The sequence below is a fragment of the Homo sapiens genome, chromosome 10 (assembly GCF_000001405.40).
Source record: "Homo sapiens chromosome 10, GRCh38.p14 Primary Assembly".
NCBI lineage: Eukaryota > Metazoa > Chordata > Mammalia > Primates > Hominidae > Homo > Homo sapiens.
Genome location: NC_000010.11, coordinates 86,355,176 through 86,377,073, shown reverse-complemented (window position 1 = coordinate 86,377,073; position 21,898 = coordinate 86,355,176). Strand labels below are relative to the sequence as shown.

At 54.7% G+C, this 21,898-nt stretch overlaps 1 protein-coding gene across 1 annotated transcript in view, besides 8 other annotated features; it reads left to right on the top strand.

Moving 5' to 3' along the window:
- Nucleotides 9,581-9,790: a silencer, noted in NCBI's record as "silent region_2560". NCBI's record gives its function as "represses an Ori minimal core promoter by ATAC-STARR-seq in GM12878 lymphoblastoid cells {active_cell/tissue: GM12878}" and the evidence as "EXISTENCE:reporter gene assay evidence [ECO:0000049][PMID:35858748]".
- Nucleotides 9,901-10,290: a silencer, noted in NCBI's record as "silent region_2559". NCBI's record gives its function as "represses an Ori minimal core promoter by ATAC-STARR-seq in GM12878 lymphoblastoid cells {active_cell/tissue: GM12878}" and the evidence as "EXISTENCE:reporter gene assay evidence [ECO:0000049][PMID:35858748]".
- The window catches only part of GRID1 (glutamate ionotropic receptor delta type subunit 1), a 767,244-nt gene continuing 755,624 nt past the window's right edge, over nt 10,279-21,898 (top strand). The window contains exons 1-2 of the mRNA NM_017551.3: nt 10,279-10,760; nt 12,978-13,133. Of these exons, the coding sequence (NP_060021.1) occupies nt 10,682-10,760; nt 12,978-13,133 (235 nt within the window). The 5' untranslated portion in view covers nt 10,279-10,681. The remainder of the gene's footprint in view (nt 10,761-12,977; nt 13,134-21,898) is intronic.
- Nucleotides 10,311-10,360: a silencer, noted in NCBI's record as "silent region_2558". NCBI's record gives its function as "represses an Ori minimal core promoter by ATAC-STARR-seq in GM12878 lymphoblastoid cells {active_cell/tissue: GM12878}" and the evidence as "EXISTENCE:reporter gene assay evidence [ECO:0000049][PMID:35858748]".
- Nucleotides 10,591-10,790: a silencer, noted in NCBI's record as "silent region_2557". NCBI's record gives its function as "represses an Ori minimal core promoter by ATAC-STARR-seq in GM12878 lymphoblastoid cells {active_cell/tissue: GM12878}" and the evidence as "EXISTENCE:reporter gene assay evidence [ECO:0000049][PMID:35858748]".
- Nucleotides 10,821-10,970: a silencer, noted in NCBI's record as "silent region_2556". NCBI's record gives its function as "represses an Ori minimal core promoter by ATAC-STARR-seq in GM12878 lymphoblastoid cells {active_cell/tissue: GM12878}" and the evidence as "EXISTENCE:reporter gene assay evidence [ECO:0000049][PMID:35858748]".
- Nucleotides 13,171-13,684: an enhancer, noted in NCBI's record as "H3K27ac-H3K4me1 hESC enhancer chr10:88123147-88123660 (GRCh37/hg19 assembly coordinates)". NCBI's record gives its function as "activates a minimal SCP1, AML or CMV promoter by ChIP-STARR-seq in naive H9 embryonic stem cells {active_cell/tissue: H9 hESC(naive)}" and the evidence as "EXISTENCE:reporter gene assay evidence [ECO:0000049][PMID:30033119]".
- Nucleotides 13,685-14,198: an enhancer, noted in NCBI's record as "H3K27ac-H3K4me1 hESC enhancer chr10:88122633-88123146 (GRCh37/hg19 assembly coordinates)". NCBI's record gives its function as "activates a minimal SCP1, AML or CMV promoter by ChIP-STARR-seq in naive H9 embryonic stem cells {active_cell/tissue: H9 hESC(naive)}" and the evidence as "EXISTENCE:reporter gene assay evidence [ECO:0000049][PMID:30033119]".
- Nucleotides 13,755-13,874: a silencer, noted in NCBI's record as "silent region_2555". NCBI's record gives its function as "represses an Ori minimal core promoter by ATAC-STARR-seq in GM12878 lymphoblastoid cells {active_cell/tissue: GM12878}" and the evidence as "EXISTENCE:reporter gene assay evidence [ECO:0000049][PMID:35858748]".

The following is a 21,898-nucleotide window of genomic DNA, read 5'->3' as shown; positions in this document are numbered from 1 at the left end:
GAAATGTGGGCAATTGCGCGGTGGCTCAGGGCGCGGCCCAGGTCAGGCACAGAGTGAGGGTCGGGAGATGTTTGGACAACCCCCACCTCGGCTTTCATTAGGTTGCGGACGAGCTGGGCCTGAGCGGGGCATGCGGGCGCGCGCGGCCTCTGGGGAGGGAGTGTGGCGGAGAGGATGCGCGGGCCGTGTGGTCCTGATCTGGGCTTGAGCCCACCCCATGCTTGAACCTGCTCTGGGCCTTTGCTTGTGCTCAGCCTGCTTCCTGGATGGCCCCTCCTTCCTCCTTATTCAACTCCCTCGGGCATCTCAGAGTCCGTAACAGCCTTCCAGGTCTCAGGGCCTGGCATTAGCTTCCCTTCCCTGCCAGTCCCCAAAAACGTCCAGTCCTCGCCTGGGCCTACCCAAGGTCTCCCCTCACCCCCAACCACCAGGCTCTGGGTCCACATTAGGACTTGTGTCTGTCCTGCCCACCATGACCCTTAGCAGGGGATCACGGGGATGGCCCGGCCTCCTGTGAAGGAAGGTCAGCTCCATGATTCCAGATGATTCCAGTCTGGAAATCTCGTGGACTCCAGAAGTCTAGCCTTTGGCTACTCTCCCCAACATTTCCTGGAGAGGCTTGATCACTGGCCCATAGGCCAAGGAGACCCTCCCTTCTATGGTCACAGACCTTCAACAGATGATGGTAGATGCAGGCCGCTACCCTCAGGTGACCCCACAAAGAGCCACACACTGGCAAAAGAACAGTCAGTGTTCCCAGTGGGTAGGAAATGCACCCTAAAACAACTTAGAGATGCAATTTTTCATTTATCAAGAATGAAACAAAGAATAACGCTTAGTGTTGCTGAAGGTGCAGAGAAGCAGACACTTTCATGAATTGCCCATGGAAACGTAGACTGGTTTTAAAAACAGCTTTGGAGGGCAATTTTGGAACTATGTATTAGAGACTTAAATGACGCATAACCTTTGACCCAGCAATTCCACTGCTAGGTATTTATTCTACTAAGGAAATAATTGCATAAAAGCTGAAAATGCATGTGTAAGTATTTTTTACCGAAGCACTGTTTATAATGGTAAAAATTGGGGAGAATATTCAATAGCAAATGAATGATTAAATAATGTATGATAGCTCCATGGAATAGAACTGTAATCAGCCATAAAAAAAAATCACATTTTTGGAAGAGAATTTCATAGCAGAGAGAAATGCTCACATTAAAATGTTCATTCATTCACTAATTAATTGATTTAACATTTATTGAGTATCTTTGAGACATGCCAGGTATTCTTTTAGGCACTGAGAATACAACTGTAAATAAGATAAATACTATCGTCCTCCTTATTGGGCTTTCCTTCTATAGGTGGAGACAGGCAAGAAAGAGGTGAAAAATAATTTCAGGTAGTAATATTTTTGTCTGTTTCTCTTTCAAAATTATACTTGAATAGAAAAAAGGATGGGAAGAAGAGCATCACAATGTCAACGGCGGTTATTTCTGGTTGGTGGTATCAGGTAGGATTTGTGTTAAGTTACGAAAAACTGAGAAATTCACTGCAGAAGCTTATAAAGACCAGGGTCTGATTGGCTCCTGTGTCCTGGGCTGATAAAGCAGCCTCGCTCTGCCCTCCTGGAACGCAGGCTGTGCATGCCCTGCTTGGCTTCTGAAGGTCACAGGACGGCAGGCTTTCCTCCGGGTCTCCTGTCTACCTTCCAGCAGGAAGAAGGGGGAAGGCAGAGGAACAAACTCTTTCTCCTCCGGAGGCTCTGCCTTTTATTTTATGTGAACAGAGCTTCAGCCAAGGTCTCATTGGTCAGAATGGGCCACTTGGGAAGAACATGGAGGCAGTGTCATGGGTTATCATCATTTTCTTCTTCACATTTTCTGGCATTTTCTAAATCAAACAAGACATTAAAACAAGCTTCTGTGTGTAAGAAATAAAGGACTTTTTGTGTTTTAAGAAACAAGGTTGGGGTGGATTGCTATGTGGGAATGGAGGGCAGAGGGCAGGCAGTCGCAGCCAGGCTCAGACACAGCTGCTATGGGTGCGGCGGTCCTGGAGGTCTCTCTCACTAATTTCCATCCGCCTGGGTCCTGTAGGCCCTTGCAGGCTGGCGCAGTCCTCAGAGGACACGGTGGAGTGCAGGACCATGGCTGTCCCTGGGAGGGCCTTACCTGTCTGCTGGCTGCCTTGCTGGCTGCCCTAACTCTCTCTGTTTGCTGGTGTCCAGGAGGGCTGTGTGGCTGCTGGGGTGAGCGTGTGCAGCCTGGGCTCATGCTGGGCTGGCTGGACTCACTGGCCCTGGGGCCTTTCTCCCAAAAGGAGCTGGGATTTGTTCCGATGTGCAGGGCTGGTGGGCCATGTCAGGCTAATCTCAGTCTGCGTCCTGGCCTCTTCATTGTGTTCATTTCCTGTGGCTGCTGTATGAAATTTCAGCTTCTGGTGGCTGCCCGCGTTCCTTGGCAGGGGGCCGCACCCCTCCCATCCCTGCCTCTGTGATCACATGGTCTTCTCTGTGTCGTCCTTCTCTGAGTCGTTCTTAGATGGACATTCATGATGGCATTTAGGGCCCACTTGGACAATCCAGGACCATCTCCTCATCTGCAGATGTTTGACTTAATCAAATCTGCAAATCCTCTCTCCAAATAAGGTCTCATCTACAGTTTCTGGGGATTAGCATGTGGACATCTGTTGGGGGCTATTTTTCATTAACTGTTCAGTGACTACTGCTCTGAGACTTGATGATCTCATCTGTAGAGTGGGGATAAAAGTCCCATTCTCACAAAGTCTTGAGTCAATCACCAACAGGCCGTGAGCAGGCACTCGGCAGGCAACAGTGAATGTTCCTCAGTGGTTGAGCCCTGCCCCTCCCCTCTGACCGCTGAGGCTGCTTCTCCCTCCCTTTCCCTTGGTGGTTGATCTGCCCTGGTCTTGGAGACAGTGAGAGGACCTGGGTGGCAGGCCTGCCGATGGCCTCTGATCCGCAGGCCCTTTTTCCCCATTTCCACCTCCTTCTCCTTCCACTGCCTGTCCCCACAGTGAGGCATGTGTGCTGCCGTGGGGCACAGGCCTTGTGCTTGGCAAGGGTTAAGCATATGCAGGTTCCCCTCCTTCCCTGAGAGCCTCCCCGGGGGCTTCTGCCTCCTCCCACTCCCTCTTCTGTTCTCTCATATCAAAGCTCCCACCAGGCTCGGTGGCTCAGGCCTGTAATCCCAGCACTTTGGGAGGCTGAGGGAGTCGGATCACTTGAGGTCAGGAGTTTGAGACCAGCCTGGCCAACCTAGTGAAACCCCTTTTCTACTAAAAATACAAAAATTAGCCAGGCGTGGTGACACGCACCTGCAATCCCAGCTACTTGGGAGGCTGAGGCAGGAGAATCACTTGAACATGGGAGGTGCAGGTTGCAGTGAACTGCGATCATGCCACTGCACTCCAGCCTGGGCAACAGAGCAAGACCGTCTCAAAAAAAAAAAAAAAAAAACAAAAAAAAAACGAAGCCCAAAAACAAAAGACATCTCTGGGTCCCTCTCTATTTTCCAGACAGATCTCTGGCAAGTCAGGGACTTTGCCCAAGGTTGCCTAGCACATTGGCAGTGGATTCAGGGCCTTTGCCATGTCCCTGCCTCATCTGAAGGAGTGCCAGGCAGCCCTTGCTCCAAGCCAAGTCTCCAGGAGCCTCCTGGGAGGTAGTACCTCCCCCATTTAGGTTTATAGGGTGCTAAATGCACTATGGTGCACCAGATAGGAAAAATCAATCACAATTTCACTTCATTGCCGGATGGAAGAGGAGGTTTACAGACCAGATAACCTGCTCTTGGAAATGGGTGTGTCCATATATAGGGTGCCCAGATCCATTAGGGGCTGCGTTTAGCTGGAGGGCTGGGTCTGGGGAAGGGGCTTTCTGTTGGATGAGCAAGGGCTTCAGGTGGATGCAGCTCCCCCATCCCTGATCCCTTGGGAGAGTCGGGGACTCGGCTCTGAAAGGCTGTGGGCTGGTGGGAGCCCCTGTGCTGCTCCCAACTTAGGATGGGATGAGGAGGGGTGTGGTGGGGTGGACCTGTCACATCCATTGAACAAAATGTCTGTGCAGCTCCTGGCCTGCTGTGCAGGCTGACATTTAGGTATCTCATCTTAAACAAGGAGCAGGGGGCGACTGGTGAGCAACAAGGCCCCACTCTATGTGTGGACACCTGCAGCCTCATTCCTGGGAGGGCAGAGGACATATGACTGGCATAAAGTATTGTGTGTAGAACCAGGGTGGGACAGTCTCCGATGAGTTCCCTGGTAGCAAAGGGGACAAAGTCCTCTCGCTCCACTATTTAAGTTCCTTTTTGTGGATTGGTGGCTCTCTTGCCCAGGATGTCCACTGAAGACACGATGGTTGACAGGTCTCTGGCTGCTATGATGCCACCCCAGGCCCACTCTGTAGAGATGTGTTTGGGAAGGAGCATGTCTGGCTTTAGCATCTCCCACCAGGACCATTCTGTCAACTTCTACCCTGGTCCCTCTGCTGCCTCCTTCTTCCCACCTTGCTGCTCTCCCCACAGCCTTCCCTTACTTGCTTCCGCCTCCATACCTTTCCTCTCGCTGTTCCCTTCACCTGCAATGTACACTCCCTTCCTTAACTCAGCTCAAGGTCTCAGCTAAACCTGTGTGGAGCCCTGGAACCCAAAGCAGGAGACGACAGGGGCAGGAGGAGCCCTGGGCAGTGGTGGGAGGGGCAGGAGCCTCTGTGGCACTTCATGTTCTGGGACAGTCAGGCAGTGACTGTTGAGGGTACAGGAGCCTGAGTTCAGCCCTGGGGTCAGAGAGGCCAGGATTCAGGACCCTGCCACTTAGTCCTTCCAGTCACCTGCGGAATAGGGTGGTCCCCAAAGTGCAAAAACAGCAAAGTTGCAGAGCCCAGGTTGGAGAGAGAGGAGAAGAGCCACCCCAGGCAGGCGTTGGGGCTGGGAAGCAGGGAGCCCAGCAGGTCTCCTGGGAGGGCCTGGGCCAGCCTGTGGGCTCTGGGACAGGCTTTTCAGGGCTGTGGTTTTACATGTGTGAGCTGCAGCAGCAGAAGCCCATTCTCCACACAACGGTGGACTCAGAACGCCCATGTGCAAGGCTGGCTATGGACGTGGAGTGGGGTCCTCAGAAGCCCCGAGCTTCCTCTGAAGAGCCTCTTAGATCCAGGCTTTGGGGCACACACTTGGAGAATCTCTGCTTTAGCAGGAGGTGAGACACAGGCTGCCCCCAGAGGCCTGGGACTGAGATGACAGCTCCTGGGGGTCATTCCTGGGATCTGAGCCTTCCTTCTCCTTTGCTCTCCCTTGGCGTTTGGAGATGCCTTTGTGCACACTCCAGCTTGCCTTATCTGACCTTTGCAGGGTTCTAAGGAAGGAATGAACCTTGTTGGACTCCAGGGGGTCAAGGGGAATCCTGGATGTTAGCATGAGAGCCCCAGATGAGCCTGAGCTTCTGTTCAGTCCTGCCACCCATCCTGCCTGGAGAGCCTGGGTCCAGGAAAGAGACCTCTGGAGGTCCTTGCTTTTGCAAAGGAAGCAGTTTTTCACACAGGTAACTTTTTGGACTAGTTGATTCTAAGCAGACTGAAGACCCAGTCCTGAGTCCCAGTTTCCTGACTGTATAATGGGGGTAAAGAGGTCCTTGCCCTGGAAAGATGAGGCATTCCTATCTAGGGTGGACACACGGTGTGTAATTTCCTTTCTCCTCATTGGCCCATGGGGCACGGCTCCGGCCCGCAGAAGCCCTCCCTCACCTGGGCTGCCCACCATGGGTGTCTGCACCATGCCACGGGAAGGGTGCAAAGGGGCATAACAGTGGGTCTTGCCCTGGTGGCTGAGGCAAGCTGGTGCTGGAATTTTCCTTCTCCCTAACCTCGGGAAAACCAAGGAATGAATCAATAGAAGTCTCGAATTAATAGAATGAGCAATGCAAAAGATTGCTGGCCTGGGAAATTTAAAGTAACAACCCACGAGGCTACCAAGAGTAAAAGTAAACTAAAAAATACAGTAATATAAAAGAACATCACATAAAATAAATACAAGCTGAGAAACAGTAAAAATAAGATGAAAGAGGTTGGCAAGAAAGGGTAGTAAGGAAGACAAAGTAGAGACAGAGAATTCACATTCAACTGAAGAGCCAACACAGCGCTGGGAGAACAGACGAAATAAGCAATAAACAAGGGTGTTTTAAAAAAAAACCAAAAAACAAATCTGGCGTGGTGGCTCACACCTGTAATCTCAGCACTTTGGGAGGCGAGGCAGGAGGATTGCTTGAGTCCAGGAGTTCAAGACAGCCTGGGAAACATGGTGAAACCCCATCTCTACAAAAAATGAAGAAAATTATCTGGGCATGGTACCATGTGCCTGTGGTCTCAGCTACTCAGGAGGCTGAGGTGGGAGGATTGCTTGAGCCCAGGAGGTCTAGGCTACAGTGAGCCATGATCACATCAGTGTCCTCCGGCTTGGGTGACAGAACAAGACCCTGTCTCCAAGAAAAAATTGAAAACAGGAAAAACCCAATGGGTTAAGAGAGGAAGGCAGCAGTGAGATTTTCTGAGCTTGGATCTTGGCAGAAAGTGGGTTCCCTGGAGCCTGTAGTGACGGATGAGGCTGGCAGCAAGACCCCTTCCCAGATGCCTACAGACTCTTCCCTGGGGGCTTGACCTTAAGACCTGGGTTGGCCTCCACCCTGTGTACACGGGACAGCTGGGTTCCATGCCAAAGCCTGCAGAGAATTCCCCAGGCTTGGACTTGATCTTTCTTTGCAGGCAGGGCCTGGGCCGAATTGTCTTCCATATCACTGGTGGGCTCTGTGCTGAGGAGGGAATGAGGAAGATAGAGTTTTTGGGCCCTCCCTGGAGACGCATGGTTCAGGAGGGGCACTTCTGCAGGGGTTGGGCACTGGTGGTTCCACATCAGGCAGGCAGCTCCTCAGGATTGTGCCCAGGAGGCAGGTCACTTGGAGGGCCAGGACTCCAGCTGGCTTTTCCTTAGTCCAGCTTTTGGATGGGGTGAGAAAGAAGGCAATGGAGAAAGGAAAGGTCTGCATTTCTGGAATGACAAAGCTTTAAGTCACAATGATTGTAGCTTCCAAGTAGACCACTGAGGCCTCTCTCTGCCTTGACATTTCATCTACAGCTTCTGTGGCCAACTACTAGCGTCCAGTGTTGTTTCAGTTGAGATTCCTGATGAGCCCAGTTTTATCTTTTTGCACCCTCCTTCAATTTCCTTGTGTGTAAAATGGGATGACCATCTCCTCGGTAAGATGTCAGGTGGTGAGCACAGTGCCTGCATGTGGTAAGTGCTAAAGAAAAGTAATTAGAATCAGTAAAACTGAAGAACTCTTTAGAAAAAGCAGTCACCTGTGCTGGCTGAGCTTGTGTAAAAGAAAGATTTACTGACTCAGTTTTAATTTCTGTGAATACACCTTTGTGTAGTGAGGAGCAAACCAAGAGGACTGAGCCTTGGGCCTGCCAGCAACTCACCTGATGCCTTTCTCTGGGCCTCAGTTTTTCTCTCTCTGAAGTGGATGTGTGTCATATGACCCAGAGATTTCTAATCTATCTTCTCCAGCTAGATTCTTGCATTAGGGGTGAACTTGTTCATTGGGTAGAGTTGCTTCCCCTGGTTTGGAGAGGCAGCATTTGCAGCCCCAGAGGCTATCAGGGATAAGGGTGTTGGGCCAAGAATAGCTGGGCCAGGAGCAATAAACTGTTAAGGGCTTGATGAGTCTGAGCAACTGACCAATAACATCCAATGCCCCTGGAACCTGGCAACTCCAACTTTAGGTGGCAGAGGATTAAACACATTTTGCCTCAAGGTGAGTCTGTACAGGTCCCCAGTGGTCTCTGGGCCTGCCTTCCAGCTCTGTGAGGAACAGGAGCTGAGCAAGTGCCTACAGTCACCACGCTGCCTACAGTGTCCAGGGGATTCTAGCCTGGATAGGAAAACTGGCTTGGCTGAGTGGACTGTCCCAGGGTGAGGATCTGGGAATGAGCATATGGGGATGGCAGACTACCACACGCCCTGGAAGCTGGAGAGGAAGGAGGCACCCAGGACAGAAGGTGAGGTTGCCCCAGGTCAACAACTTCCAGATGAGATCCACCTTGAGTCATGATCCTCAGATGCCAAGCCACAGGAACCTCATCACCCACCTCATCATCCAAACTGGAACTTGATGGAAATCATTCCACAACTATGTGTTGGTGGGTTGTCTTCTTAATACTTGGAAGGAGGTCTTAATACTTATCCCACTGAAATCATGCTACCTACACCTAGCAAAACATACATCAAAGAAAAACTTCTAACTGGGTATATCACATGCCCACTGTACTAACACACTGGAGAACCCCCAACAACAGGAGGCCCGGGGAGAGTCCCTGACCCACAGGGACTTCAGGTCAAGACCACACCCACCATCCTTTCAAGGTGGAGACAGTCCCCGTAGGAACCAAACTGATGTATAATAAAACTCATCATTTATTTCTCTTCTCCCTACAGCATTTCAGCCAGTGAATGGTAGAATTTTGCAGGAATAAGAATTAGAGGTGTAGAGGGTTTTGAGATGCGGGGTGGGTCAGGTTTCACTACTCAAGGACCCTAAGACAGGTTTTTGGAAGAAGTGTGTGTGTGTGTGTGTGTGTGTGTGTGTGTGTGTGTAGGACCACATTCAGCCACTCCCATGGGCAAGTATGACATATGACCACTCCTCTCTTCTTGCCCCCTGGCCTCCTTAACCTAGAAGTCACCTTGCTGGCTCATGGGATTCCTTGATACTTCTGCAATCCAGCTTCTCCGCTCCAACAGGCTGTCCCTGCCCAGCTGAGCTGGCCCACCCAGGGTTCCCTCACAGTGCTATGGGCCTCCACTGGCCCCCTCTGCACAGCCCATCCTCTCCAATCTTTCTTTCCAAAGTGAAATCTACCAATGCTTACTCTTTGGCTCTGGCCACATGAGAGACAGACAGACATACAGACACACACTTCTTTCTTTTTGCCTTGGCTCACCACTATTCAATGCCTGGAAGCCTTATTTTCTCCCTTGGGAACCTCCACTCAGTCTTTACAACTGTCATCTCCTCCAGGAAGTCATCCCTGCTCTTCTTCCCAGGCTGGTTCAGAGCCCAGGCATCTGAGCATACACAGCTCATTCATAGCCCCCCCCAACATTTAAAAGATGACTTGGTTGGGTGTCTGCCTCGCCCACTGCGCTGGGAGCTCTGGGCAAGGGCTGTGGTGGGAGCCTCTCCCCCTGGTGCGTGGCGGGAGTCCTGGGGCCCCTCCGCGGACAACAGGGCCCGGGGACGTTCCCAGGCTTGCTGGAGGAGCAGCTTTTGAACGAGGCTCTGCCAGGTCCCAGACCCCAGGAAGCTCAGCTGTCTCCTCGAAATCTTGGGGGTGCCACATGGAGCCCAGTCCCTTTCAGGCACGAGCCCACAACAGCTTAACGCTCTCTTTGGTGGTGGCCGGCCCGAGGCAGGCACCGGAGGCGGAGGGAGCCCTGTTCCGCTGTGGCCGCGAGGAGCGGGCTCTTCGCCCGGGCTCGCACATGAAAGCTCCGTGCAGGGTCGGAGTCTGAGCCCGCCGGCCGCTTGGAAGGCTCCTCACGTCCAGGCGCCGCGGTCACGGCTGCGCTGGTTTCCGGCCATGAATTGGGCTTCAGAGTCCGAGCCTCTTGCCCGACTCCCGGCTGAGCGCGCTGCCCATGGAGCGGGGGATGGGCGCCCGCCGAGGTCCGCGCGGCCAGCCAGGGTTCGAGCCCACGGCCCGGGCTCTACTCTGAGATGCTTGCGGCGGCCGGCCCCCTCTGGCTCCCCAGCTGTCCTGGGGCCTGGCCCGGCGCCCCGCCCCGGTCTCTCTTCTTGCTCCCCAGGTCCCACTCCACGAGGAACGGTCTGTTTCGGCCGGGGACATGACCCGAGACGCGCGGCTGCTGAGGTCGCCAGGGCGCTTCGGGAGCCCCTCGAGGGCAGTTAGCGGCCGGCCCTCCTCCATTCTCCCGCCCCTGGCGAACCGGAGAAGGAGGCCCGAACCGTCAGAGCTCGGCGCGCCGCAGCCCAGGCCGGTCCCCGCCGCTGTGCCGGTCTCCGAGCGTCCCCCGAGCCGGGAGCGTGGAGCACCCGGCGCCCCCTCCGAGCCGCGAGCGGGCGAGAGCCGCGCGGCGAGGCTGAGGCTCCGCAGTCACGTGGTAGAGAGGCGGGCGGAGGGGAGGGAGGCGGGCAGGGAGGGGAGGGGGAGCGGAGCTGAGGGGGAGGGGGAGGGGAGGGGGCGTCCTCCGCAGTTCGCTCCTCGCCGGGGCTCAGACACACAGCCAGCCCAGAGCCGCCACGCCGGCCCGGCCGCCGCCGCCACCGCCTCAGCCTCCCCCGAAGCCGCTCTAGCCGCGGGAAGCGCCGCTGCCACAGCCGCGGGCCGCCCCCGCCGCGCCGGCCTGGGCTCAAGCTGCCAGCACCGCCGCAGCCGCCACCGGAGCCGGAGCGGGAGCCCGACCGCGCTGGGCTGGGCTGGGCTGGGCTGGGGCGGGCGCAGGGCGCAGGGGCGGGCGCGCGGGGGAAGACGCACGGGCGGGCTCGGCTCTCCCGGGGAGCGGCCCGGGACTGCACCGGGACCAGCGCCTCCCCGCTTCGCGCTGCCCTCGGCCTCGCCCCGGGCCCGGGTGGATGAGCCGCGCGCCCGGGGGACATGGAAGCGCTGACGCTGTGGCTTCTCCCCTGGATATGCCAGTGCGTGTCGGTGCGGGCCGACTCCATCATCCACATCGGTAAGCGCGGCTGGAGGCCGGGCCGAGGCTGGGCGGGGGCCCCAACGGGGCAGGGGGTGCGCGGCGTCCAAACTTGGCGTTTCCCTGGGCCGAGGGGCTCGGCGGGCGGTGCTCCCCCGAAGGGCCGCGCCGCGCCGCCCGGCGGAGGAGCTGTGCACCGGCCGCGCCGCGCTCCCGCTGGCTGCTTGCCGCTCCCCGGGGCTCCGATCTCCGCGCGGGGCCCCGCGGCCTCTACCGACACTTAGGGCCGACGCTTCGGGGAACACCGGGATGGACGCGCGTCGAGACCCGCGCCCTTAGCGGGGCCGTCGGCGGGTCGGGAGGGCCCTTCTGCGCAGCTCAGAGCAGCGGGGGGCAGGGGGAGGTACAGCGGGGGGCTCGCCAAGTTGGCAGGGCAAGATCAAAGAGGCCGGACCGGAACCGTGTGTGAATGTGTGTGGGTGCGTGTTGTCAGCGTGTGTCGCTGTGTGCGCCTGGCACGGTGTCGGTGTTACTGTGAGAGGGTGTTGGGGTGTGTGGGGCCATCTGAGCGTGTGTTGGTGCGTGCACGACTGTCTGTCAGCCTGTTAGAGTGGACACAGTGTCTGCCTGCTTCTCCGGTGTGTGTCTGTGTAGCCCTTGGTGTATGTGTGAGTGCGTGTGTATCTGGTTGTGGCGACTGCATCCCCATCCTGGACAGTCCTAGAGTTTTGCGTGGTCCAAGTCTTGGGGGCCCAGACGGTCTGGGTGGTGGGAGCCGAGGGAAGAAGCGTGGGCAGCGGGGGGTAGGGGGATGCTGAGCGGGAAGAGATGGATAGAGAGAGAGAACCGGGAGAGAAGATGAAAGCGCAGAGGAGGAGGGGGCGCGCCGAGGGGGAGTGGGCGCGCCGAGGGGGAGTGGGTGGGAGTTGGGAGCAACACGGGAGGAATCTCGGGAAGTTGGGCCGAGTTGGGGGGCTGACAGCGGTCGCTTTGGGGGAGTCCCTCCGCAGTCGTCTTTCCGGAAGTTGGGAAAGACCAGCGAGCACAGGGAAACTGGGGGTTGGGAGGTGTTGAAGGCGAGGAGGACGGGACAAGGCGGGAGGGTGGGTGGTGGAGTGGGGTGGTGAGGACTAGGCCTGGGCTCGGAGAGCTACGATTCCTCCTCAGGGGCCCGTGACCAAACCTGCTTCCCGCCCTGGAGGGGTGCGGGTCTCGCGGTCAGCATTGCGGCGCCGGCTCCGGGTGTAGTGAGGAATCCGGGCCTCCCTCCTCCTACCCAGCCCCCAGCTCGAGGGATCACTGGGCCTAGCTCCGGGACCTCAGGGACCCTCGAGGCTTGGTGAGGCGGGATGTGGGTGGCTGACTCCAGAGCTGTCCAGGTTGCAGGACTAGGCTCGGGCTGGTCGCACTGATCTCGGCTGGAAGCGCAGGGTCCGTGGAAGCTGTGCTAGGCGCACAAAGCGCCAGCCGGAGGGCGCCCTGGAGGAGCTGTCCGCGGTTCTAGAAAGCCCTTCAAGAGCAGCTCCTTCTGGGACCCCCAGCTCCGCTAGATCTGAACGTGGAGGCGCCTAGGACACAAGTCCCCTTCCCCCACTCCCCTCGACAGACGTACAGGAAATGGGAGTGGGGAAGGATGGAGAGTAGGAGGCTGAGCTCAGGGCGCCAGGCCGGGCAGCGTCACAGTCATCCAAGCTGCAGGCCATCCGAAGCCCCTGCCTAAGGAAGACCCCTCTGCGCAGGAAAGCCAACTGTAGACCTGCTTCGCTCAGCTCCACTCAGCAGGGGACGTGCATGGAGAAGGACCCATCATTCTGTCCTGGGATTTGGGTGGGGGACACCACCCTCCCGGGGAACTTCCTGGCTCCTGGGATGGGATTTATGGAACCATGTCAAGGCATTTGGGCGCTGCCTGGGGCCACCCCAGCTTGGCTTAGTCCCTTGTGTGGAGCATGGCTAGGACATGTGGTGCCTTGGTTGTGAGACACGTGTGTGACCTGGTGGCAGCCTGTGGGATGTGCATGTGTAACTCATGTCAACTGTGTGCACGTGTGCGCTGAGGGCTGGTGGGGGGAGGGGAACATATTCCTGTGCAGGTGGAGATCGGAGAGCCTTAATCTACCCCGCCAAGCTGAAATCCCAGTTCAGACTTCCCACCACCCGGCAATCATCGGTCTGCGAGTGCCTTGACCCTCGGGCCAAGGGAAGCGGGGAGAGGGTTCTTGTCCAGGTCCGGTCTTGATCCCTTCTCTCCTCCAGGTGCCATCTTCGAGGAGAACGCGGCCAAGGACGACAGGGTGTTCCAGTTGGCGGTATCCGACCTGAGCCTCAACGATGACATCCTGCAGAGCGAGAAGATCACCTACTCCATCAAGGTCATCGAGGCCAACAACCCATTCCAGGCTGTGCAGGAAGGTGAGTGACCGCTGTGCCCAGGGCCCACTGGGACACGGCCTGCGAGGCGTCGCAGCAGTGGGCACCGGAGGGGTTGGGACGAGCTGGGCTGCGCAGGGCACCCTCTGTTCCTCGGCAGCCGCGGTGCCATGCGCGGTGGCGCGCCTTCCCCGGCCCACCTAGGCAGCGGCGCCGGGACTGCTCTGCGCTGCGGGCCGGCACGGAGAGCCTGCGAGCGCGGGGAGCTGGTGTTCTTGCGGGTTGCGTGGCGCCCTTCGGGCTGTGTGGGCGCGGGTGTGCGCCCAGCGCTGGCCGCGCAGGCGTGCGTGGCTCGGGGCAGTCTTTGTTTCTCGGTGTTTGGGGGTGGGCGTGTCTGCGTGCCGGGTACCTGTATCGGGCGCACCTCCCCTGATCTCAGTGGCCCGGTGTTTTCCTCGCTTCGAGGTGAGGAGCGCCCAGCGGCTGGAGCCCGACCTGTCTCCTTCTCCCGGGCATAACCTGGTAGGCGCGGCGTTTCGCGCCCCGCGGCCCCCAGAGCCTCAGCCCGGCGCTTCTCTGCAGCGCTCCTCCACCAGGTTTGGAGGAGCCGGTTTCTCTCTCGCTGTCCGCGCCGCGGGCGGAGGCGCCGCCGCCTGGGCCGGAGGTGGGCGCTGTTCGCCCAGGAAAGGAGCGGAGCTGGGCCGGTCCGGCTGCGGGGAAATCCTGGCCTACGCCGGGGCCGCCCTTGTCCACAGCCACTGCCTCCGGTCGGGCCCCGCGGCAGGCGCCACAGGTGCGAGGCGAGGGCGTTCACGACAGCAACCCCCTCTGCTTTCCCTCCTCTCTGCTAGTCCCTCCCCTTCAACCTTTCAGCTCGGGAACCCTGGTTCCTTCTCCAAGCCTCCAGATTCCTGGTTAAGGCCTAAGGCTCCGCCTCTGACACTTACCCGGCTTAAGTCCCTTCTCCTTCCCTCTGCCTTGCTCCCCGCAACCATGGGGACTCTGGGGCCAGCGCCCCTCAGTGCTGGGGCAAGTTAGTGGCGCAGGATGCAGGGATTCCTTGCTGGAGGAACTGGTAGAGAAGTGTAGAGGGGGCAGTGGGTGTAGTGGGAGGTGGGCTGGCTAAGAGCTCCTGGCTGGTGTTTTCTCCTCAAGCCCGTTGAGCCGAGAGTCCTCCTGCTGCTTTGGTACACATGGGTTGCTAGTCTCCCCGGTGCCTGCAAGGACAGGATGCCTCGATGATGGCTCTGGCCTGGGTCTGGGGGGTCAGAGCTGGTGTTGGGGAGGTCGTTGTGTTGGAAGGAGGAATTCTGGGGGTCTCCTATTCTTGGGTGCAGCAGAGGAAGGAAAGGGGCCAGCTCTGGGGGCAGGGACCGGGGACTACTTCTGGGGACTGAAGGTCCAAGGATTTCTTGAGGTGGTTTTACAAACCGGGAGTCCCAAGTGTTTTCTTTTAGGGGGGGTGAGGCTAACACTGCCTATTATGGGAGCTGCTGCTTCCAGCTGTGACAGATGTCCATTGTCAGATGTCTGTTGAGGTACAGGGAAGAGGAATTCCTGCCCTTCTTTGGTGTCTGGTCGTGTCCCACCAGCAGTCTCTATCTCCAGACACCCCCTGCCTCTGGACTTCTTTTCAGTGTGCCCTTATCACAGCTCCTTGCAGGTGCTTGGGGTGGGCTCCAGCCAGGGGAGGGCAGGGCCTTCTTAGCGGAAGGAACCCTAAATGGGGTGGGGACCTGGGGTGACAAGCTACAACTTTCACAGTGCCACCTGTTCCCTTGACACTGGTTCCACAAACCCCATCTCTGTTGACATTCATTCTTTGTGCTTGGGAGCTGAAGCCACAGTTTGGAAGCACATATTTCCTGGACCCAGGAGCTCACAGTGTGGTGGGGACCCTGCCTGTGTTCCATGTCTGGTGACACACCTCTGTTGGCTCCCCTCTGCAGTGTTGAGTATCCAAGCTCATTCATTTTGCCTCTGAATGATGCCCGTCCGCTCCCATCAGCAGTTCCCCAGGGACTAAACATGATGCTCTTGCACAAGGTTGCCACCTCATGCAGGTAACACACAAGGATGAACCGGGCAGCTGGTTCCTGTGGCACCTGGAGTACAGGGTCTGAAGAGGTCATCTCCATTAAAAGGAGAAGCTGTCACACAGCTTTAACAGATTTTGCCATTGGGCGTGAAAATCCTACTGTTGTAGATGTGCTGATTTATTTTTTTAAGAGGAGCCCCAAATCTGGACCTTAATGTAAATTTTGATTTAAAGCTATTGCCAACTAATAAAATAATGTAAACAACACAGTACAAGCCAAACAAAACATAGCTATGGGTGATTCAACCTGTAAGCGCCCCAAAGCAACTTTGTCCTGGGGACAAAGGTTCCACCCAGGGGCCTTTTCTGGGTCTTGGTTTCTCTGTTTGTATAGCTGGAAAAATGTGTCAGGCTCCAAGGATGGCAGACTGACACAGTCTCTGTGGGGTGTGAGAGTGAGTGTTTCTGCATGTCTGGAACTAGGGAGTTAGATTCTTGGTTGACAGTTGTCTAGGGAGAGAGACACTGGCCAGGTATTGTTGGTGGGCTGCCTGCTGCCCAGAGAGTTTGTGCTGGTGAAAGCTGGCATGTACTTTCATTTTATGAGTCTGGTGGACTGAAATCCATTGTTATCTTGTGACCTTGCATAGCCCTTGGATGCCTACAAGGGATGGGAGGAGCCTGCCCTGGAAGGCCTCTGTGAGGGGCAGAGCAGTGCTCAGCAGCCTCCTTTTCCCTTGCCTGGGGCTCTGCTGCAGGTGCTCAGCTCTCTGGATGTCCTTCCTTGGATGTACTCTGTGGGGTGCTTTTCCATCACTGGGCTTGATCCCTGCTTGATGAATGCCTTATATCTCACTGCTGGGCCTGGACATCCATTGCAGCAGGACATGGGTTGTCGATACAGGTTGAGTAGGAAAGAAAAAGACTTTTAGTAGCGGAGTGGTCAGGGATGGAGAGCAAAGGCAGATGGGGGCTTGATCTCCATCATTGACTGGACAAGCCCACAGTGACCTCTCAGTGGAGTGGTGCTGTCGCTGTTTTGGTCTGAGAGGCAGTGCCATGCAGTGATAAGAGCCTGGTGGAGCTTAAAGAGTTTCAGTTCCCATCTTGCTTGTCTTCACTCGTGGTGTGACCCTGGAGCTCTGCTCTGAGCTTCTGTTTCCAGATCTGTTCAAAGGGAATAATCATAGGATTTGCCTCATGGGATTGTGAGGATTAAATGAGATGAGACATGTGTAAATCATCTACATAAGGCCTGCGGTGGGTGTTCTGTAAACAGTAATTCCCTTTCCGTTCCTTGACCCAACTGTGAATCCATCTCAGCTTCTCTTGAGGCCGTTGATATTTTCAGCTACATTATTTTTTTAAGCTAGTGAATTCCTTGAGAGAGGACCTAAACTGACCTTTTCATTTTTAGCTCTTACTTTTTTCCCTGATTATAAAAGAAATGCATTGCTGCAATGAGCATGTATTAATATAAAAATATAAAAAAGAAAAAGGGCAATGTGTGCTTATTATATAAAATGTGGAAGGTACAGGAAAGTGTCAAGAGGCAGAACAAAATCACTCTGAATTGCACTAGTGTTATTTCCTTCCAGTCTTCCCCCCACCACTGTATTTTATACATTTTGAGAGCTCCCATTCTGTTCAGTTTTATATCCTGTTATTTTTTCCTATTTAACATCATTGGCCTTTTCTGAAATCACTATGAACTATTTGTAAACATTACTTCTAGTAACTGCATACATTTCTCAATATTCAAAACTTTTTTTTTTATAAAAGGGAACTATTTATGCTGAGATATGCAGAATCAAGTATTCCTGAACAAAACAAGAAACTCGGCCTGGATATGTTGGTCCTAAGATTTATACTTACAATTTCTTCAGGATGACTTTTAACAAGCTCCTTACAAGCACTGCCTTTTAGGACATTTGGTCAATGTATGGAAAACAATGGATCACACAATAAAATATCCATTTGATAAGGATTGAAAGTTAGCAAATAACACAGAAAGGACATTTAAATCTCTAAAATGTTGCATCTTAGATTTAGCTGGCAAAGTCCATATTAACAAATAGTGTGAAAATTTGTCTTCTAGGTACTAAAAGAGATCCTAATTTGTTAAATAAAAAAATTTCAGATTGTTGTAAAGTGCTTGCTCAAGTAGGAGTTTATATAAATGCATATAATTTATATAAAAGAACTGGCTGAGCACGAGTCTTCTCATTTCCCAGCATTACTTTTTACTGTGAGTAAAAGACGAGAGTTATTAGATATGCTGTAGATATACCTGTCGCAGTGTGGAAGGATAACAGTTTAGGAAAGAGGCAGAAAAAAGGAATGCATGCAAGTGAGGCAATATTCCTTTTAGTTATCATAAGCACAAAAGGATTCTAGGAAGACATAAAAATTACCAAGAATAGCTTGTGGTTCACAGAATGAAACAATGAAATAAAATAAAAATGAAACACAGAGAGCTTGTTGGTGCCCATCTGGAGGCCTTGCTCAGTTTATATCCGTTACCTCCTAGGTGGTCACCCTGCCCCTCACTGGCCACACTGGTATCTAGACATTCTGCTAGAGGCTCCCCATCCCTAGCTCTGATGGCTTCCGGCATCTTCGTTGGCTCCATTCAGAATTATAGAGAATTGTAGGTCCCATCGAGGCCACGCTCTTGCAGTCCTCCTGGCAGCCTCACCAGACACCATCAGAGGCTCTCTGAGTGTGATGTCCGTGTCTTCCTAAAGATGCCTGTAGACCCCTTATTCCCATCCTCTCAGCTGTGTTAGTTTTCTTGTGGTGCGGAAACAAATTTTACCCCAAATTTAGTTGGTTAGATCAACACACATTTATTCTCTTGCAGTTCTGCAGGTCAGAAGCCTAACATGGGTCTCACTGGGCTAAAATCTGGGTCCTTCTGGAGGCTGGAGGAAAGATTTGTTTCCTGGCCTTCTCCAGCTTCCAAAGACTGCTGGATTCCTCAGCCCCTGGCCCTTTCCTCCATTTTCAAGGCCAGCAATGGCGGGTCAAGGCCTTCTCACATCCTCTCATGCTGACCTGGCTTCTGTCATCACATCTCCTTCTCTGACTCTTCTGCTTGGCTCCCTCTTTCAAGGACCTTTGTGGTTATATTGGGCCCATCTGGATAATCCCAGATAATCTCCCTATTATTTATTTATTCTTTTTTGAGACAGAGTCTCTCTCTGTCACCCAGGTTGGAGTGCAGTGGTATGATCTTGGCTCACTGCAAGCTCTGCCTCCCGGATTCACACTATTCTCCCGCCTCAGCCTCCCGAGTAGCTGGGACTACAGGCGCCCGCCACCATGCCCGGCTAATTTTTTGTATTTTTAGTAGAGACGGGATTTCACTGTGTTAGCCAGGATGGTCTCAATCTCCTGACCTCGTGATCCGCCTGCCTTTGCCTCCCAAAGTGCTGGGATTACAGATGTGAGCCACCGTGCCCGGCCCTCCCTATTTTAAGGATAGCTGGTTTGCAAGCTTAATGCTGTCTGCTACCTGTGCCATGTAGCCTAACATATTCACAGATCTGGGGATTAGGATGTAGACATCTTTGAGGGCCATTATTCTCCTACCATGTTGGCACACCTGTCTGTGCCCAATATGCATTGTCCACCTCCACTTTCCTTCCACCCTGATAATCTTTTGCATGCTTGACTGCACTCTTGCTTACTGCGGGGCATCCTCTTTTGTTCGCTGGGCCTGCTATAGTCACTTGGGATGGATGGCTATGTTTCCTTTCTGTTTCTACAAAGCTCACCCTGGAAGCATCACACTGTAAGCCTGTGGAGCCTCCACAGACTTGCCTGTGTTCTCCAATGACATGTCAGCTTCTTTTCCTGGGCTTGGCTGCTGCTTGTGCATAAGGAAGTTCCTGGAGGAAACTGCTGTTCGAATAGTCAGACTGTAAGTTGGTGCTGCCGCTTGGACCCAGGGCCTCTTTTCTGCCTGAGCAGGTTGTTCTTCAGAACCTCACCGTCTAGGCCCATGCCTACCTACACCCCAAGGGACGGCCCTCGTTGAAGTCAATCTTGCTTTGCCGCCCGGGGTCCCACAGAGAGCTGCTGTTCCTGGTCCCCTCAAGGGCTACTGCCAGTGATAACAGCTGTGGATGAGGCTGCAGGCATTGATAGTCTGGAGTTAGGCCCTGGGTCCCCTCTCTGGATTCCCCACAAGCCCGTGCTGAACTCACGGTGTCAGGGTGCTGAACTCACAGGTGTCAGGGTTCTCCTTCATTCTGGAGTCACTCCTGTGCAGGTGCACACACAGGCATGTGCAACACACACACACATGCATGCATATACTCAGGCACACACACATCCACCTGTACTCAAGAGCACACACACGTGCACATATGCATGAGGGCACACACACTTTCTCATTTTATAGACTACACTCCAGCACCACCCACTTCCTCAAATTTTGGGTTCAAGAGGCTCCCTTCATTCCTTATTGCCATGGCTTAGCCCTCTAGATTGGGAGGTTGGACTTAACTGGCAGTGAGCAGATGGATACCTTATGCCAGGCGTGTGGGAGAGGCCACGGGTCATACTGCCTCTGAGCTGCTGCTGTTCCTAGTCCTGGGCTGGCCTGTGACAGCCCCTTCCTCTGGGATACTGTCCTTTCTGACAGGCATTGGGCCCAGGAAGGCAGCTGGGTCTGTGTCCAACATCTCAGCTAGGCTCTCTGAGCCCTCCCTCCCAGCCTGGAAACAGCCAGTTTCCTGGCCAATGGCCATGGTTGAGAAAGAAGAACCCAGAGTTCCCCTTCTGGACCTGAGGTGTGGGCAGGGTGGACTGGAGGGGATGAGGTGGCCCCTTTTGTTTCTAGGTCTAGGACATGAGTACTTTGACAATTTTCCTCCTGGAGCCATTTCTCCAGGTTTCTCTTGGGGGCCAGCTAAGGCTGTCCCTCAGCACTCACAGTCACCTCTTGTAATGGCAGACAGACTCTCTTTCCCAATTCTTGTAGCTGCGAGGTTGAAATCCTCTAGCTTTGTCCTCATAGCAGCTGTCTTCCCTCTTCACTGAGCCTTCTACTGCCCAGGAAATGCTGTCGCCTAACAACTCAGAGCATCCCTTCTGCCCTGCCTCTTCCCAGATAATTTCTAACCCATTCCATCCCTGGATGTGATTCTTTTTACACTTGGTTACCCATGGCTGTGCCTGTGGGTCTCCACCCTTTGGTTTTGTTCTGTGTTTCCCGTTGTATGAGTCAGGGGAGACTAAGTTATGCTGCAGTAACAAACAATCCAAAACTCCCAGCAGCTTTCATGACACAGTATTTCCTCCTCCTGCTGTGTGTCCATTGCCGGTCAGTGGGGAGCTTGGTCCCTCATGGTCACTTCACTTGGTTGTTGCCAGTTGCTGTGCCAGAGGGAAAGAGAGCTCTGGGGGGCTCAGCCTGGATGTGCTCACATCACTTCTGCTTATGACTCGTTGGCCACAACCAGCCATGTGGCCACAGCCAGTCACAAGGGATCCAGGAAGCACAGCCCTACTATGTGCCTGGAAGCAGAGAGAACTGGAAACAACTGGTGAGCAACAGAATTGCCTCTTTACCATTCATGGCTAAACAGCCCTCCTATTTCCTTGGCGTTTCATTAAAATAACAGCAACAAACAAAAAGCAAAAAACAGTTTTGGGTACGGGATGCTAGTTGGGCAGAATCTGTGGCTCCCATTGATACCCCACTGTGTACTCAGCGACTTGTCCCTCCTCTGCAGACCTCTGGGCAGCCCTTCCATGTGCTGGGAAGTTAGGAAGCCTGGGTCCCCAGCCTAGGCTGGGGTTGCACCTCTGCTTTTCTCCATGTCTGCCAATCTTGTGCTCTGTAAACTAGTGCCTGGACAAGCCCAGCTCTCAGGACCATTGAGCTAGTCATGAGGTAAAGATTGGGTTCTCTGCCCAGCCACCGACAGGACCAGCACCCATGACCTCCCCCTGTCCCCGTAGCTGGACTTTGGCAAGTCTGCACTTTCCACGGCTTCAGCCCTGTGGCCCTGTCCCTCATATAGACTCCCACGTCTTGCCCCTGCTGCCCCACGAAGTGGCAGCCCTCTCCTGCTAATGGCAGTGGGCTGGGGCAGAGACCACGCATCTCTCTGCCATTGCTGGCCTGTGACAGCCCCTTTCTCTGGGGTGCTGCCCTCTCTGACAGGCACTGGGCCCAGGAAGACAGCTGGGTCTGTGTCCAACAACTCAGCTAGACTCTCTGAGCCCTTCCTCCCAGCCTGTAAACAGCCAGTTTCCTGGCAGATGGCCACGGTTGAAGAAAGGAGAACCCAGAGTTCCCCTTTCTGGGCCTGAGGTGTGGGCAGAGTGGTCTGGAGGGTATGAGATGCCCCTTCCGTTTCTAGGTCCAAGCTGTAGGCAGTGTAGGTTACCAGTGGGTGAGGTGGGGGGTGTTAGCTGGGGGACTAGGGTGGTCCTGAGCCCAGGCTGCCCCTTCTCCTCCACCCAGGTGTGGGACATGTGGCCCTGATGGCCCCATCTTTCCAGTTTTCCCTCACACTCATCCCTCAACAGACCCTAGATGAGGCAGCTGGGCTCTGAGACTGCATCTCCACCTGGCCCACCCTGGTCCCCCACTGTGCTCAGCCTGGCCCTTCCCCATGCCTCCACTGGAGCATCCGTGGGGTGTCCAGGAGCTGAAGAGGCGGGAGTGTGGTGGCTGTCTCACACAGACTGGGGCTCCCACCCCTGCTCTGCTTTCTGACTCTGGGTGGGCAACCTCGGTTTCCCTGACTGT